This window comes from Homo sapiens, chromosome 7 (assembly GCF_000001405.40).
Source record: "Homo sapiens chromosome 7, GRCh38.p14 Primary Assembly".
In the NCBI taxonomy this organism is placed as follows: domain Eukaryota; kingdom Metazoa; phylum Chordata; class Mammalia; order Primates; family Hominidae; genus Homo; species Homo sapiens.
Genome location: NC_000007.14, coordinates 69,573,231 through 69,592,650, shown reverse-complemented (window position 1 = coordinate 69,592,650; position 19,420 = coordinate 69,573,231). Strand labels below are relative to the sequence as shown.

Genomic DNA, 19,420 nt, shown 5'->3' with positions numbered 1-19,420 from the left:
TTTACAAAACTTAGTATAGTAATTATTTTGTATTTCTGCTGTGTTCAAGGCCTTTCATGGTCTTGCCCCAGTAATCTTATCAACCTCATTTATTGCAGTATATATTAATATATTTCTATGCATCCCAGCTCCTTCCCAGAACACCCCCACACCTTTGCTCATGCTGGTCCAGCGTCCTACAATCTCCTTTCCTGCCATCCAGAATTGCTGAATTTCCACCCATCCCTCAAGACCAATTTAACCATTAAGGCCAACTCATCTAGAAAGCTTACTTTAGTTACTACTTCCATTCAGAATTAACAGCTTCTCTGCTTATGTGACACTTTAATTTATGAATATTTTAATGTGTTATTAAATATTTCAAAATAATATAATGAACAATCATGTACTCCCCAGTAGCGTAAGAAATAAAACATTTCCAAAATACTCGAACCCTCCTGTGTATAATACTGATGTCAGTGGCTGCTGCCATCATGCCTGCTGCAGCAGGGAAGCGCAGCTGGGGCTGCACACTCCATGGAGCAAGTGGGAGCCCTGTCCCTTTTGAGTTGGGACAGGAGCTACCCATGCGGCTGCAGCCACCCAAACCACAGCGCAGACCCAGGCCTCCTGCTGTACCTGGCGGCGGGGCTATAGCCACCCAAACTGCAGCTCTTGGGGGAGCCGGGAAGGGGCAGGATCTGCCTTCCCGGGTGCAGCTGCAGCCGCCGCACCCGTGGCTGCAGACCTGGGCCTACCGCTCCAGGAAAAAGCAGGCAGGGGCAAGGGACAAGCGGGAGCCCTGCCCCTTCTGAGTTGGCAGGGCAGGAGCTCCTAGGAGCAGCTGCAGCCGCCTTCCCAGGCGCACAGGACCGGGTCGTCTCTGCAGCCTGCACCCTCAGGCCCCCCAGAAAGGATCCCTGCACATCCCCCTCCTTGCAGGCTTAGGGGTATCTACTCCCACTGCCTGGCCTCTTTCTGCTCCTGGATCAGAGCAGGGTTGGAGCCAAGCCTTGGGGCCAGGAATGGCAGCAGGAGGCAGATAGAGTTCTGGGCGGAATGGGGCAGGGTCCCCAGTAAGGCCCCACCCTCAGGCCAGGGAGGGCTTGAAGGCTAGGACAGGGTTGCCAGTCCCTCCAAACAGAGTGGGGACTCCTGGTGCCTGTTCCATGGCCGCCCATGGTCATCCATGGGCCAATCTGTAGACACTTCCTCCCCTCTGAGGTCCATAAAAGCCCTGGGCTCAGCCAGAGCAGGGTAGAGGATGGCTAGAAGACGAACAGGGAGACAACGGGATGGGACGACCACCAGCATAGAGAAGTACCCTCTGCTGATAGCTGGAGACAATGGGGTGACCAGTTGCAGACAGGAGTACCCTCTCCACTGAGAACTACAGATACCACCTGCCGAGACCACCTGCCAGCCAAAAGGAGCTACTCTGTCTCCTGAGAGCTTCAGAGACCTGCAGAGACATTGGAATGACTTGCCTGCAGTGAGAAGTCCCACCCTCTCCAGAGCCTCATCTCTGCTAACCACTGAACACTGGACTGGACTACCTATGTACAGAGAGGAGCTACCCACTCCTCTAAGCTGTTCTAACACTAAAATAAAACTCTTCTTCTTCGCCCTTCACTTGTCTGCATCCCTCATTCTTCCTGGACACAGGACAAGAACTCAGGCCAAGGTGCTACAGCCACAGAGGTTTCCGGCCAGAAAAATTGACACCCCAGAGATCCCATAACAATATCTCCTCTGGGATTTTGTTTTCTCTCTCCATTTTCCATCACCCTTTCTCCTTCCACTCCCTTACCGCCTCCCCGGAATCATTATCCTGAATTCCTTGCTTATCATTCCATGCATTTCTCTGTATTTTTATGACATGTGGAAGTATCCCTAAACAACATATAGTATTCTTTTTGACTCACTCTGTCACCCAGGCTGGAGCGCAGTGGTGCAATCTCAGCTCACTGCAACCTCTGCCTCCCGGGTTCCAGTGATCCTCCTACCTCAGCCTCCCAGGCAACTGGGACTACAGGTGCATATGCTCACGCTCAACTATTTTTTGTATTTTTAGTAGAGATGGGGTTTCATTATTTTGCCCAGGCTGGTCTCAAACTCCTGGGCTCAAGCAATCAACCTGCCTAGGTCTCCCAAAGTGCTGGGATTACAGGCATGAGCACTGCACCCAGCCAACATATAGTGCTTTATGGCATGTTTTAAAACATATATAAATGATATCAGTCTATATCTATTCTTCTAAAACTTTTCTTTTTTTTGAGGCAGGGTCTCAGTCTGTTGCCCAGGCTGAAGTGCAGTGGTGCGATCATAGCTCACTGCAGCCTTGACCTCCTGGGCTCAAGCAATCCTCCCTCTGGAGTAACTGAAACTACAGGCACATACCACCATTAGCCCAGCTATTTTTTTTAAGAGACAGGGTCTAGCTATGTTACCCAGGCTGGTCTTGAACTCTTGGGCTGAAGCCATCCTCCTGCCTTGGCCTCCCAAAGTGCTGGGGCTAGAGGTGTGAGCTACCATGCCTGGCCTTTTAAAATTTTTTCTAAAAAATTTTAGAAATTTTAGGGGTCTCACTATGTTACCCAGGCTAGTCTCAAACTCCTGGACTCAAGTGATCCTCTCACCTCAGCCTCTGAAAGTACTGGGATTACAGGAATTAACCGTCTCATCCAGCTAGGCTGCAGTATTTTATAGTGCAGATAAAGACATGAAGTTTTGGATATTCGTACTTCTACTTCAAAACCCCTAAAAAAGAAGCCTGAAGGAACTTAGCCTTAGTATTAACATGGGATCCTACCAAGCATGTGTCCTTAAAAATGAGTTGGTAGTATTTGAGTTTCTTAGTGCCTCTGTCAATTTTGGAAGACAGTAGATGTTTCTATATGAGGTAATGAATATCTAGGAATTTCATTTATCTTCAAGTTCCATTATTCTTTGGAAAGATTCTAAAAAGAGGAAACAACATCTTCATTTATGATGAAGATTTCTTGACTTTCAGAACAAACAAACACTTTGCTGTTTGAACTACCCAAATAAAAAATGTTGCCCCGTTTCTAGAGTGGGCTCATCTTACCAGAAACTTTCATGAAATAGTTAAGTAGGATAGTTGATAAGAAGCTAGCTATCTCTATTCTAATGCTACTGTTCCATTGCAGCTAATCTTGGAAAATTGCACACAAAGACTTAAAGAGACAACCTTCTACTAATTATATATTCACCTGGTATCCATTTCAACAAATGAAATTTCTCTCAGCACATATTAATTGACATAATTACTGAAACGCCAAAATCAGATTAGCCACTGTAGCTCAAAGAAAAAAACAGAAAAGAAACCATTGCTCCAGCAAATTGCAAAAATGTTTTTAAAAAGGGCTCAAAAAGGTTGTTCAACTTGTAGATAGTTTTATATAAAGCTAATAAAACATGGCTATTTATTTCATTATTCATTCATGAGATAATTCTGGGTTCTTAACAGTGTATATTGGCTATATTGCAGCTTAAAAGTCAGTCTTTATAATACGCTGCACTTTGTTGATTGTTCTTGTAATCTCCATTATGCGTGTTTTAGTGGCATAGCACTTCTGTTCTAAGAAAAATTGTATCCACTACTATTTGTGTTTTCACAATTAACAATCACACACTTATCCTAGAAGCACAACAGCAGCAACAATGACATCATTGTATTTGCAAAGAGCTTACTTTTCACATTCCTGGCTCTTTTTCCTAAAACACTGACGTCATAGTAAAACATTGTTCTCCCTGCTTTGAGTTCAAATCGCCTGATAAACCAGAGAAATAGGAAGATAACGAAAGAAGACATACATTAATATAATTCTGCAAGGCAAAAAAAAATTTGCTAAGGCTTCTTTATGTCTATTGCTTGACTACATGGCATCTATTGTTTTATGATCTTATATCCTTGTTTCCTATGTCCGATTGTTCTTGCCACTTAAAATGTAATCTCTTACACAATTCACCTTCTCGGTTCATGTTACTGTACTATTATTAGAATATCTTCGCTTTACAGGGTTTTTTTTTATCAAAGCTCATTAGCATTCTTTATCATCATCATGATTATTGCTATTATTATTTATTTTTGTTCTTCTCTGCAGAATGTTTTCCCTTTATTGTAACATTTGGTTTGTTCTCCCTATCATTTAATAACTAGTCTCACACATTGGTATAGAATCCTGCTTTTGTTGAAAATTAACTCTGATAAATCAGGGAAACATGAAGAAAAAAAATGTAGACATACTGTAGTATAATTGTTCAAGATAAAAACAGGCATGCTTAGCTGGGCACAGGGTGCTCTGTAATCCCAGCACTTTGGGAGACGGAGGCAGGTGGATTGCTTGAGTCCAGAGTTCAAGACCAGTCTGGGCAACATGGCGAAGTCCCCTCTCTCAAAATATACAAATATTAGCTGGGTGTGGTGGCATGCACCTGCAGTCCCAGATACTAGGAAAGCTGAGAAGGCTGAGGTGGGAGGATTGCTTGGGCCCCAGAGGTCAAGGCTGCAGTGAGCTGTGATTGTGCCACTGCACTCTAGCCTAGGTAACAGGGTGACACCCTCTCTCTCAAAAAAAAAAAAAGGCATACTCAAATTATTTGCTACTCTCTCTTTGTAAAATCAATCTCCTGAATGTTACTCTTGCTTAACACATGAAATCATCACTTCATTATCTGTAAACTCGATTGCAAATTTTTGCTCATCCCACATTATTGATTACTAATTGTTTCCTGTTAATAATACCTAAACTTTATCTAACAGAAGTTTAGTGAAATTACAACAAAAAATATAATGGAATGGGGATGGTGGAAAAAGAAATAAAGGAAGCTATAATTCACCTATAAAAATATCTTTTGTTTTATTTTATTTATTGATTTTATTTTTATTGTTTTTTTCAGAGTCTTACTCTGTTGCCCAGGCTGTACTGCAGTGTTGTGATCTTGGCTCACTGCAACCTCTGCCTCCCAGGCTCAAGAGATTCTCCTGCCTCAGCCTCCTGAATAGCTGGGATTACAGGTGTGCGCCACCACACCCAGCTAATTTTTGTATTTTTAGTAGAGGCAGGTTTCACTATGTTGGCCAGGCTGGTCTCAAACTCCTGACCTCAAGTGATCCACCCACCTGGGCCTCCCAAAGTACTGGGATTACAGGTATGAGCCACTGCACCCAGCCTATTTTATCTATAATTGACATATGAATGCATTATTTGTATTGCATGTACCCATTATTTTTAAGCTCTAAGTCTTACACTATGGAGAAATTGCAAAGACAGAAATAGTATATTGTGTTTGTTCTGTTCAACACCTAGCAACAGTTTATTTTTCTTGATTCTGAGCGTGAGACATCCCCAAAGCCTCCACTGAAACTGCTTAAAATCCTAACAGCATGTCGCTTTACTTTTTTTTTTTTTCTTTGAAACAGGGTCTTGCTCTGTTATCCAGGCTGGAGTACGGTGGCATGGTCTTGGCTCACCCAGGCCTCAAACTCCTGGGTTCAAGTGATCCTCTCTTCTCAGCCTCTCAAGTAGTTGGGACTTCAGACATGCACCACCACACCCGGCTAATTTTGTTTATTTATTTATTTATTTATTTTTACAGAGATGGGGTCTCGCTATGTTGCCCAGGCTGGTCTCAAACTACTGACCTCAATTGATTCTCCTGTCTCAGCCTCCCAAAGTGCTGGGATTATAGACATGAACCACCGTGGTCAGCCCACTTTACATTATTATTATTATTATTATTATTATTATTATTATTATTATTATTATTGAGATGGAATCTTGCTCTGTCGCCCAGGCTAGAGTGGCACAATCTCAGCTCACTGCAACCTCCGCCTCCTGAATTCAAGCGATTCTCCTGCCTCAGCCTCCCAAGTATCTGGGAATACAGGCGTGTGCCACCATGCCCGGCTAATTATTGTATTTGTAGTAGAGACAGGATTTCACCATGTTGCCAGGCTACTCTCAAACTCCTGACCTCAAGGGATCTGGCTGCCTCGGCCTCCCAAAGTGCAGGGATTACAGGCATGAGCCACTGTGCCCAGCCCCACTTTACCTTCTCAATTTACTTCAGCACCTCCATCATAAACACACACACACACACACACACATACACACACACACACGCACTCCCCAGGGTTTTTCTGTGGACCGAAGTCCACCCTGACTGATTCCTCAGAGATCTGTTGATTATCCCAATTCACCTTTGTAAAGAGCAATTAAAACATGGTAATCTTACAACCACCACTGTTGATGGATGTCAAAATCTTTGGGAAACAGGATATTTACCAAGTTTCAAAGTGTCACATCCAAGATTACTTGTTACTTTTAAAGGGACATGGCACTTTAATTTTGCAGATATTTGGCGAATACCACCTTAACCAAATGATCAAACTTACTATCACCAGTTACATCACTTACATCTGGATGTGATACACTGAGAAGAACACAGCAAACCATACGCTATTCCTTCCAAAAATACTTAACCTGAATCTAATCATTAGGGCACAGCCAAACAAACTCAAATTGAGGGACATTCTGCAAAACAATTGTCCTAAATTCTTCAAAAAATGTCAATAACATGAAAATCAAACAAGGCTGGGGAATTATAGTTCAAGGGAAGGAAAAAATGAAAATTGAATGCAACAAATAATCCTTGATTGGATCCTGGAATATAAAAGATAAAAATAAATAAAACTACATGGGACATTGGCCGGGCGCAGTGGCTCATGCCTGTAATCCCAACACTTTGGGAGGCTGAGGCAGGCAGATCACTTGATGTCAGGGGTTCCAGACCAGCCTGGCCAACATGGCAAAACCCCATCTCTACTAAAAATACAAAAATTAGCTGGGTTTGGTGGCAGGCGCCTGTAATCCCAGCTACTCAGGAGGCTGAGGCAGGAGAATCACTTGAACCTGGGAGGTGAAGTTTCCAGTGAGGCGAAATCTTGCAACTGCACTCCAGCCTGGACGACAGATGAAGACTCCGTCTCAAAAAAATAAGTAAATAAAATAAAATGAACTTAAACTACATAGGACATTGTATGAGGCCATTTTTGTGTTGGCATAAAGGAATACCTGAGACTGCGTAATTTATAAAGAAAAGGGGTTTATTTGGCTCACAGTTCTGCAGGCTGTATAGGCTGTTTTAGCATGGCTCCAGCATCTGATCTGCTCCTGGTGAAGGACTCAGGAAACTTACAATCATGGCAGAAGACACAGTGGGACCAGGGGTGTCACATGGCAACAGTGGGAGCAAGGGGTGAAGTGGGAGGCATCACACTCTTTTAAACAACCAGATCTCATGTGAACTAACTGAGCAAAAGTTCACTTATCTCTAAGGGGATGATACTAAACCATTCATAAGGGATCCACCCCCAAGATCCAATCACCTCTCATCATGCCCCACCTCCAACAAGGGGAATCATATTTCAACATGAGATTTGGAGGGGACAAACATCCAAACCATATGAAGCATTATTGGGACACATTATTAGGACAATTGAGGAAATTTGAGTATGGAATATACTTTAGATAATAGTGTCGAATCATTGTTAAAATTTTCAAGTAGTTGTATTGTGGTTACGTAGAAGAATGTCTCTTTTCTTAGGAAATAAATGCTATCTTTAAGGAGTGTTTAGGGATGAAGTGTCATGATGTCTGCAATAAATTCTCAAATGGTTCAGCAATGTATATATTAAGGAAGGGAGTAGAGAAAGAGAAATAGAAAATAAATGTGGCAAAATGTTAACAATTGGTAAATCTTAGTGAAGGGTACGAGACCCTTCATTGTTCTCTGCCTGCAACTTTTCTGAAGGTTTGAAACGTTACAAAATTAAAAACTGAAGAAAAACTATTAAACCGAAGCCTGGCATTTCTTTTTTTTTTTTTTTTTTTTTTTTTTTTTTTGAGATGGAGTCTTGCTCTGTCGCCCGGGCTGGAGTGTACAGTGGTGCAATCTCGGCTCACTGCAACCTTTGCACCCTGGGTTCAAGCAATTCTCCTGCCTCAGCCTTCCTAGTAGCTGGGATTACAGGCATGAGTTAACCACACCTGGATAATTGTTGTATTTTTAGTAGAGACGGGATTTTGCCACATTGGCCAGGCTGGTCTTGAATTCCTGACCTCAAGTGATCCACCCGCCTTGGCCTCCCAAAGTGCTGGGATTACAGGCGTGAGCCACTGTACCTGGCCAAGCCTTGCATTTCTTGGGAAAAGACATCCTGGAGTTAAATACGTTAAGCCAACGTGCTTTGCTTCAGGCCTACAAGAAATTGTGAAGAAGTCCAAATGTGTGACAAAGTGACTAGCAGGCCAGCAGGACATTGCTATGTAGACTTGTTTCAGGACTGATAGATATTTATTTAATTGAATATGACATTAGAGATGCTGTAGTTCATATATTAACACAAATAGATAAACAGAAGCCCAGGAGATATGGTGTGTTGTCCAGTGTCACATACTTACATAGTGATAGAGCTGGACTCAGGAGAGAACCCAGGAGTCCTGTGTGGTTTTGTGTGTGTGTGTGGTTTTTGTTTGTTTGTTTGTTTCTTTGTTTTCTTTGGCAGGGGGAGGGGTTTTAGAGACAGGGTCTTACTCTGTTTCCCAGGCTGGAGTGTAGTGTTGCAATCATGGCTCACTGCACCTCAAACTCCTGGGCTCAAGTGATCCTCCTACCCTAGCCGCCCAAGTAACTGGGATCACAAATGTGAACCACTGCATGGTATATTTCAGTTTATTTTTTACTTCGTTTTTTGTAGAGATGGAGTCCTGCTTTGTTGCCCAGGCTGGTCTCAAAGTCCTGGCTTCAAGCAATTATCCTGCCTGGGCCTCCCAAAGTGCTGGGATTACAGGCATAAGCCACTATACCTGGCCTTTTTCGCTCTAATAATAAGGTGGTGGCTAGGCACAAAACTAGAGTATTTTCCACTCTAGTTTCTAATTGGAACAAAAAATATCCAAGAATGGATTTCTTATTTTTATTTTTTATTTTTTTGAGATGGAGGCTTGCTCTGTCGCCCAAGCTGGAGTGCAAATGGCGTAATCTTGGCTCACTGCAACCTCTGCCTCCCAGGTTCAAGCAATTCTCCTGCCTCAGCCTCCCGAGTAGCTGGGATTACAGGCACATGCCACCAGGCCCAGCTAATTTTTGTATTTTTAGTAGAGACAGGGTTTCTCCATATTGGCCAGGCTGGTCTTGAACTCCTGACCTCAGACGATTCACCCGCCTCGGTCTTCTAAAGTGCTGGGATTACAGGCATGAGCCACCGTGCCCGGCCCAGGAATGGATTTCTGCTATTGTGTTGCTATTGTTTAATCCATATTGAAGCCCAAGCTATTTGTCCCCACTAAACCCACTGTCACATGCGTGTCTATCAGTAGCAAGGAGATTCAGGACTTCAGCGAAACTGGTGACAGTGCCATTTTGCCCATGACTGAGTGCTGCCCAATGCCCCTTTCTCTCTCTACCAATCCTCTGGGAAAATGAGACTACAGAGCAGAAGAAAGGACAATAACAACATTATAGCTCAAGTGACCTTAAAAGCAAGGAAACCCTATTATTTGAATGGAGTAATGGATAGGCCTGACCATTATCAGTCACTCTGGATGTGACAGAAGTACACTTCTTGTTAGAGCATCAGAGTAAAAACCTCTTCAGCATTGCATTTGTCTTGAGCAAGCAAAAGGGAGGAAATGTGCAATAATAAGAGCGCTGTGTTTTGCACAAACTTTTTTTTTTCAGAAATATTTCATACCTGAGAGTGTAATCTGACATAAAACTAATTTGCTTCATTAAATAGCCTCATCTTCTTCCTTTCCCATCAGATTGCTTCTATTTTGCATATAATGTGTACAATGCAGCTGGATGTAGTAGCTCATGCCTATAATCTCCACACCTTGGGAGGCCAAGGTGGGAGGATTGCTTAAACCCAGGAGTTCGAAATCAGCCTGGGCAACATAGCAAGACGCTGCCTCTCCAAAAAATTTTTAAAAGCCAGACATGTTGGTGCATGCCTGTAGTCCCGGCTATTCCAGAGGAAGAAGTGGGAGGATCACTTGAGCCAAGAAATTTGAGGCTACTGTAAGCTACGATCATGCCACTACACTCCAGCCTGGGTGACAGAGCGAGACCCTGTCTCAAATTAAAAAAAAAAAAAAATATGTGCAATACCTTAGAAACCTTTTCTTCCCTTGATAATGAAGGTCCTTGTTCTTTCTCATGAGGTATGAGGTATTATAACCATCTTCTTTTCTAGTAAAATGTGGGTGTATTTGATGTGTAAATACCGTATGTATTTCTTTCTTTCCTTCCTTAAGTACTACGCTGGCATAACTTAATTGTTCCTAGCTGAGATGCTAAAACTCTACATTTGGGCATAGAGTACCATATGTTGAAATATCTTTTACCTGGTGCCCATCTATAAATTCTTACTCTTTCTTGGTGGGGTGGTGGAGAGAAGTGTCATCCAGGCACATATATGGTAGCAGAATCCCAAGGCAAAGAAAAAAGACTTGGCTATATTAAAAATAATTTTATTCACCCTCAGCTAGTCAAATCTGGAGGAAGATTAGGAAATAAGTTGCCCACATTTATCATCCTATGGTCAATCAATACACTCACTAGACTTTTCCCCTTACACTCTATTAAACCAACCCCCTCTACTAAGAAGATAAAACTCCTTAAATAGAAAATAAGTAGACAGTGACCAACAGTAATATTATCTTTGCCTACAATTTAAGTTCCCAGGACTTTGGTAAACTTCTGAATCCCTTATGCTCTGGACATAATATTACTTTTCCCAGCTCTCTGGGGAAGATAAACTGAGTGACTTGCTCCCTCCCAAGTTTTATATTACAGGGCAGAAGAATGACTCCAATGCTTACAGTTTGGCTAGCAGTGGCCTAGAGTTGTAAATATGGGCAATATGACTTTACAAAATAAGGAACCAGGTTGCAACTGGTTTTTTGCTGATTTCAGGGTCTTGACTTAGATTTGCAGGAGTGACTTTGAGGGTTCTTATCTCAAGGGTTAGTGTATTAAGAGAGAGAGAGAGCTAGAGAGAGAGAGAGATATTTATTTGATTTATTTTTAAGACAGAGTCTTGCTCTGTCACCCAGGTTGGAGTGCAATGGTGTGATCTTGGCTCACTGCAACCTCTGCCTCCCAGGTTCAAGCGATTCTTCTGGCTCAGCCTCCCCAGTAGCTGAGACTATGGGTACAAACCACCAAACCTGAATAATACTTTTTTTTGTATATTTAGTAGAGATGGGGTTTCACCATGTTGGCCAGACTGGTCTCAAACTCCTAACCTCAAGTAATCCACCCACCTTGGCCTCCCAAAGTGTTGGGATTACAAGCATGAGCCATCACATCTGGCCAAAAGAAAGATTTATTATAGGAATTGTCTCCTACTATTGTGGAAGCTGCAATGTCTTATGATCTGCTGTCTACAAGTTGGAGACCCAGGAAGGCTGGGAGTGTTGTTCCAATCCAAGTCCAAGGGCCTGAGAAGCAGGAGTGCCAATGGTATAAATTCTAGTGCAAGAGCAGGAAGAGACCAATGTCCCAGCTCAAGCAGTCAGGCTGAGAAAGAGAATTCCCCCTTCCTTCACTTTTTTGTTCTATTCAGACCCTCAATGGATAGGATGATGCCCACTCGCATTGGGGAGGGCAATGTGCTATACTCAGTTCATTGATTCAAATGCTAATCTCATCCAGAAACACCCTTACAGACATACCCAGAAAGAATATTTAGCCAAATATCTGGGCACCCTGTGGTCCAGTTACATTGACATATACAATTAACCATCACAGTTAAGGAACTAATATTTACTGACATCTACTAATGTACGGAGAACTGTTTTGTGTGATTTACATACCTCATCTAATCCCCTTACCTGGAGACTTTAGGGAGGTGTGGACCATGTCTCTTTTTTTGACCATTACATTCCCAGCAATCGGCATGAATATTTACTGAGAATAAATGAACATAAAGATCTATTGAATCCTCAAAACAATTCTGTCAAGTAGATGATGTAGATTTTATCCTTATTTTACAGATAAAGAAACTGAGGCTTGACAAGTTTAAGAAGATTGTTATCTCAGCTGGGCACGGTGGCTCACACCTGTAATCCCAGCCCTTTGAGAGGCCAAGGCGGGCAAATCACTTGAGCTCAGGAGTTCAAGACCAGCCTGGCCAACATGGTGAAACCCGTCTCTACTAAATATATACAAATTAGCTAGGTGTGGTGGTGCATGCCTGTAGTCCCAGCTACTCAGGAGGCTGACGTGGGAGAATCACTTGAGCCCAGGAGGTGGAGGTTGCAGTGAGCCGAGATTGTGCTCCGGCCTGGGTGACAGAGTGAGACTCTGTTAAAAAAAAAAAAAAAGATTGTCATCTCATTAGAACTTTGAAGAAGGGTTCTCTGGATATCCAAGTATCTTTCCTAATAATACAGGTAAAGCAAGATTCTTACTGACTAACAAAGAACATTTTAAATACTAGAAAAAGCCTATGGGAGCCAACATCCTGACTCTTGTTCAATAAAACCTCTATCACTCAAAGACAATTTCCTTCTCTCTGTATGGGGTAAAAGAATAACTTTTTTTTTTTTTTTGAGACGGAGTCTCACTCTGTCACCCAGGCTGGAGTGCAGTGGCATGATCTCGGCTCACTGCAAGCTCCACCTCCCGAGTTCACACCACTCTCCTGCCTCAGCCTCCTGAGTAGCTGGAACTACAGGCACCCGCCACCACGCCCAGCTAATTTTTTGTATTTTTAGTAGAGACGGGGTTTCACTGTGTTAGCCAGGATGGTCTCGATCTCCTGACCTTGTGATCTGCCCGCCTCGGCCTCCCAAAGTGCTGGGATTATAGGCATGAGCCACCGTGCCCGGCCAGCTTTCTGTTTTTTAAGCAAAAGACTCATGAAGACACTTTCTTTACCAACTAACCCAACATAATGACATCAGATGTGAGGATCACATAAGACATCTTTCAAGATGCAGAATGTACCATGTGACCAGTGTTGGCTTTGCCTCAACACTTTTGGGAGACTGAGCTAGCAGCTATTACTCATTCCCCTTTACAGGTTGGGAAAATGTAAGACACGAGTTAGAAAGTGATTTAAAGAATGATTAGACCCTGAATTTCTTCAATCCCAGTCTTTCCCCCATCAGAATCGCATGTTGCATATCTTTCTAGAAGTCTCAACTGACAGCCCACATGCCTACAGAATTATTTTGTGTGATTCATGCGATGTTATTACATTTTGCCAATTAAAACTCAGTAGATATCTTAATTTCTGGCTACTCTTAGAATGCCCCAGAGATCTGGTAACACCACGTAGAATACTATGACCACTGTGTCTTCCTTTCATAAGTTTTCATTTTTCTTTTATTGTGGTGAAATATACATAATATAAAATTTACCATTTTAGGGTTTTTGTTTTTGTTTTTTGACAGGGTCTGGCTCTGTTGCCCAGGCTGGAGTGCAGTGGCACAATCACGGGTCACTGCGGCCTCGACCTCCTGGGCTCATGTGATCCTCGCACCTCAGCCTCTCAAGTAGCTAGGACCACAAGCATGTGCCACCATACCCAGCTAATGTTTTTATTTTTTGTAGTGACATGGGCCAACATGCCCAGCCCATTTTAGCCATTTTTAAGTATACGATTCAGTGGCATCAAGTACATTCACAATATTGTGCAACCATCACCACCATTCATTTCCAGAACTTTTTCATCATCCCAAACAGAAACTCTATACCCATTAAACAATAACTCCTCATTTTCTCCCCTCCCTCAGCCCCTGGTAACCTTTATTCTACTTACTATGAATTTGTATTCTAGATACTTCACATAAGCAGAATTATACAATATTTATCTTTTGTGTCTGGCTTATTTCACTTAGCATGTTTTCAAGACTCATGCATGTGAAACCGACTCAATAGTCCCATAGACAGTTTTTTTGGATCAATATATAAATTGACCCTTCTGGTCTTAAAGTTTGAAGCTTATATCTGAGTTCCTTCCCAGGGAAATGACCTTCAGGCCTCTCAAAAAAATTACGAAGAACTGAGACTCACCAGATCACTACTTCCAGATAGTGAGATGCCCAACCCCCTCATTCATCATGATTGCTGCCTTGCTCCTCCCTAGTTCCTATTTTCTTTCTTTTTGTGTTGTTGTTTTCTGCTTTTTTTTTTTTTTGAGATGGAGTTTCGCTCTTGTCAACCAGGCTGGAGTGCGGTGGCATGATCTCGGCTCACTGCAACCTCCGCCTCCCGGGTTCAAGCAATTCTCTTGCCTCAGTCTCCCGAGTAGCTGGGATTACAGGTGCCCGCCACTACACCCAGCTAATTTTTTGTATTTTTAGTACAGACAGGGTTTCACCATGTTGGCCAGGCTGGTCTCAATCTCTTGACCTCGTGATCTGCCCGCCTCGGCCTCTCAAAGTGCTGGGATTATAGGCGTGAGCCACTGCACCCAGCTGGTTTCTGTCTTTTATGTTTGAGTCTTTTCTCTAGAGTCTGGTTCCTTGGCTGCCTGTTCATATTAAAGGATATGGGAATAACAAGCTAATTGGAAATCCAGGTTCCAGAGAAGATTGGTGGCTGAAGAGCTTCGTCACAGGGTCATGGGACTTCAAGCTGGTTTTGTCCCTGGGCGGACCTATAAATGCGGGTATTTGTAGGTCTTTTTTTTCTGGGGCTGTTTAGTTTCCACAGAGAAGAATTCTCTCCTGCCAGGCTGATTGTGGGGAGGAGAGATAGGTGTAAGCTTGACTACTTGCATCCGAAGCATTTATCTAGGTGAGGGTTATAAGGTTCCAGACCAATGTTATCGGTTTCAGAGCACCTATAGTTACTAAGCTAAGGAGAGTTGATAGGATTCTTCTTCTTTTTATCGCCATTTTCTCAATATAAATTCTTATTCAGAATGGAAAATTTCAGAAGCTAAAATAACTCCACTGCATATTTTAATCAGGGGAACAGGTTGGCCTTTTGTCACAAAATATGCTTCGAAAAAAAAATGCCTGCTCTTTCTGAAGTTTGCCAGTTTGGATGTTTTTCATGCCCCAGAAACTGCTGGTGGCAGCCCAGCATGGTAGGGTGAATAAGAAAGTCTGGCTCTGTCTGTGGATGTTGAAACTCTGAAGCTTGGCCAAAACATGAAGTCATTTTAGGGTCCAAGAGATGGAAGTAAAAGCTTAGAACATCACTAAATTGTAACAGATGAACTGGATTCCAGCCAAAAATACAGATATCTTACAATACTGTGTTCACAAACAAATGTCTATGCCATTGTATGGAGAGGTTAGAGAAATGCAAATGGAGGCTGAGGTTTTACTTCCTGCTGCCAACCAAAATATGTGTTCTAGAAAACAAAAGGAGTGGGGGTGTTTAAAGGGCAGAAAGAAAGCAGGTTTGTCTAATGTTAAACACATCTGCATCCAAGTAATTATTCAGTAGTATAAAAATATTGCCTTTCCATGAATGAATAAATGGGTGTGAGAAAAACCTAATAAGTAATAATAATAAAATATTGCCTGTACAATATAGTCTGAGTCAAAAAGAGCTAGGATCCCAATCTATGTGTCATAACATAGCTGATAATGACAGATGCACTTTTATCAAAAGTTAGGTTAACATTTTCTGCAGGTTTTTTTTTTGTTTGTTTCTTTGTTTTTGGGGCAGGATCTCGCTTTGTTGCCCAGACGAGTGCAGTGATGCAATCAGAACTCACTGTATCCTCAATGTCCCGGTCTCAAGTGATTCTCCCACCTGAACCTCCTGAGTAGCTGGGACTACAGGTCGATGCCACCATTACCAGCTAATTTGTCTTTATTTTTATTTTTTGTAGAGACATGTGTGTGTGTGTGTGGGAGAGGTCTCACTATGTTGTCCATGCTGGTCTTGAACTCCTGGACTCAAGCAATCCTCCCTCCTTGGCCTCCCAAAGTGATAGGATTACAGGTATGAGCCACCACACCAGGCTAGGGCAATATTTTCTAATGCAGCTAAGATTTTGGAAAAGTCCTCAAATCTTATGTTTCATTCTTCAAAAAAGATTTTTTTTTTTTGAGATGGCATTTTGCTCTTGTTGCCTAGGCTGGAGTGCAATGGCGCAATCTCAGCTCACTGCAACCTCCACCTCCCGGGTTCAGACGATTCTCCTGCCTTAGCCTCCCAAGTAGCTGGGATTATAGGCGTGCTCCACCACGCCTGGCTAATTTTGTATTTTTAGTAGAGATGGGGGTTTCTCCATGTTGGTCAGGCTGGTCTCGGACTCCTGACCTAAGGTGATCCGCCTGCCTTGGCCTCCCAAAGGGCTGGGATTACAGGCATAAGCCACCGAGCCCGGCTGAATCTTCCAAAATGTAAAGACTGAGATTGAGTTTCTGGAGAGAGAAAAATGACCTGTGGATGCTTAGGAAAAGTAGACTATTTAGATACTATTCTCTTTTGGATTACTCCAAATGCCAATATTTTTTAAAGATGAGTGAATGCTGCATTCCGAGCCTTTTATTCTAATGTGGCCCAAGCGACCTAACAGTGTTTGATCAAAGTCTTATTCTGTTGAGACACGTTGTGCCCCATTTAACTTCTAGATAAATGCTGGCAGAATTTGCATGTCATCTCCTTCTCTTCAGATGTCTGAAACACAGTTTCCCAGGAACCTCTCTTCAGTTAATAATTAAAGGTACACTCAAAAGTATATGTGCCAGGAGAAATCATAGCAAAAAATTGAAGGCTATCTAAATGCCCAACTGTTAGGGATTGGTTAAATAAGAAATGGGGCCGGGCATGGTGACTCACACCTATAATCCTAGCACTTTAGGAGGCTAAGGCGAGGGGATCGCTTGAGCCCAGAGGTCAAGACCAGCCTGGGTAACATAGGGAGGCTATGTCTCTCAAAGCATTTTTTAAAAAAAAACATAATCTGGCTGTGGTGGCATGTGCCTGTGGTCCCAGCTACTCGGAAGGCTGAGGTGGGAGGATCGCTTGAGCCCAGCAGTACTTCAAGGCTGCAATAAGCTGTGATTGCATCACTGCACTCCAGCCTGGGACAGAGTGAGACCCTGTATCAAAAAAAAAAAAAAAAAAAAAAAAAGAGAGAAAAGAAGTGTGGATTCATCCAAACAAATATTTAGAAAAAGAAAAAAAATACTCTGTCAGTTTGTCAGAGTTACTGTGTTTATTTATTTATTTATGGCTTAAACATGGAATGCTTAAATTATAGTAAAACATATATAAAATATCTGAGAGAAAAACAGAAGTCCATTTGTTCCTGAATGTTTGGTTTCCATGATGCCAACTATCTGAGTTTGTTTCTTTGAAGGCGTCATTTATGTACTGTAAAGTACACAGCAAGATGAGTTTTTATACACATGACCACCACCTAGATTTAATATATGTTATTTCTAGTACCTGAGGAGTTTCCCTCCTGCCTTTCATCTCTTCAGTCAAATCCCATCCCACGTTCCTCCCCAAGTAACCTCTATTCTGACGATCTAGGGCTTTAAAAAATGTTTGGCCAAAAAGCTAGATTTTTCCAGATATAAAAATGTTTGTCGGCCAGGCGCAGTGACTCACGCCTGTAATCCCAACACTTTGGGAGGACGAGGCAGGTGGATCACCTGAAGCCAGTAGTTTGAGATCAGACTGGCGAACATGGCGAAACCGGGTCTCTACTAAAAATACAAAAAACAGCTGGGCAAGTGGCAGGCGCCTGTAATCCCAGCTACTCGGGAGGCTGAGGCAGGAGGATCGCTTGAACCCAGGAGCCAGGAGGTGGAGTTTGCAGTGAACCGAGATCATGCCACTGCATTCCAGCCCGGGTGACAAGAGCCAAATTCTGTCTCAAAAAGAAAAAAAAAGTTTGCCTTGCCACACACACAAAAACAGGTAGCTATGTGAGATGATAAATATGTTAATTTGCTTGACTATAGTAACCATTTTATGATTCATATGTATATAAAAACATGATGAGTATCTTAAATATATACAATAAAATTTTAAGAGAAAAGAATGTTTGGTACCAAAATACTTGTCCTTAATGTTTCAGTTTTCTTCTCTGTTGTTCAGTTCCAATACCACACCCGTGAAGGGAATCAATTTCCTTCCTGGCACTTACTCTGTCCATTTCTGTAATTTTCCACAAAGAGTGGGGAAAACAAAAAATTTATCCCCTCATTCTTTCATCTATTGGGAACTGCTGAACTATCTCTTCACTTACTTGAATTTCTCTTTTAAGTGGCAGACTAAGACCACAAGAGGAACTATTGACAACAACCAACAAAACGTTTAACAATCTTTTAGATAACCTCAAAGTATTAAAAACTACATTTAAAAAAAAAACATGAAATACATAGTCAGTATATTTTTTTTAAGTCTTAAAAATATGGCTTTTGGCCGGGTGTGGTGGCTAATGCCTGTAATCCTAGCACTTTGGGAAGCTGAGGCTGGTGGATCACCTGAGGTCAGGAGTTTGGGACCAGCCTGCTCAACATGGTGAAACCCCGTCTCTACTAAAAATACAAAAATTAGCTGGGAGTGGTGGCACTCCTGTAATCCCAGCTACTCTGGAGGCTGAGGCAGGAGAATCACTTGAACCCAGGAGGTGGAGGTTGCAGTGAGCCGAGATTGCAGCACTGCACTCCAGCCTGGGTGACAGAGTGAGACTCCGTCTCAAAAAAAAAAAAAAAAAAAAAAAGAAAGAAAGAAAATATGGCTTTTGAGTAATTATATATCTTAAAATTTATTTGGAAGAAATGTTTAATTTTTTTCTCTTTGATACAGGGTCTCACTCTGTCACCAAGGCTGGTGTGCAGTGGAGCAATCACAGTTCAATGCAGCCTTGACCACCTGGGCTCAAACAATCCTCCCACCTCAGCCCCTCCGCAATAGCTGGGACCACAGGCATGTGCCACCATGCCCGATAAAGTTTTTTTTTTTTTTTTTTTGGTAGATACCGGTTCTCACTACGTTGCCTAGGCTTGTCTTGAACTCCTGGGCTAAAGTGATCCTCCTGTTTCAGCCTCCCAAAGGACTAGGATTATAGGTGTGAGCCACTGCACCCAGTCTAAATATTAGATTTACAAAAATTTGTGTACAAGGAGTAAAAAAACTGGTAACTGTCTAAATGCCCAACAATGGAGGAACGTTTAAGCAAATAACAGTGTATTCATGCATTCATGTATATAGAATACCCTGCCGTCCTTCAAAATGAAGCTATTGAAGTAAACGTGTGACAAAGAACTATAGTTAGGACATGTTAAATTTAAAAAGCAAATCACAAAACAGTATATACAATAATATCCCATTAATATACAATGATATCTCAATAATATACAATAATATCCCAATTTTGGCAGTGAAAGGCCCTGGGCTCTACCACTTACAAGCTGTGTGA

General features: G+C 42.3%; 1 long non-coding RNA gene across 1 annotated transcript in view; it reads right to left on the bottom strand.

The window, feature by feature from the left end:
- Positions 1 to 11,923: 11,923 nt before the first annotated feature.
- LOC105375346 (uncharacterized) overlaps positions 11,924 to 19,420 on the bottom strand; it is a 36,703-nt gene continuing 29,206 nt past the window's right edge. Inside the window, exon 5 of the long non-coding RNA XR_927652.1 lies at positions 11,924 to 11,979. This is a non-coding gene — a long non-coding RNA (uncharacterized LOC105375346). The remainder of the gene's footprint in view (positions 11,980 to 19,420) is intronic.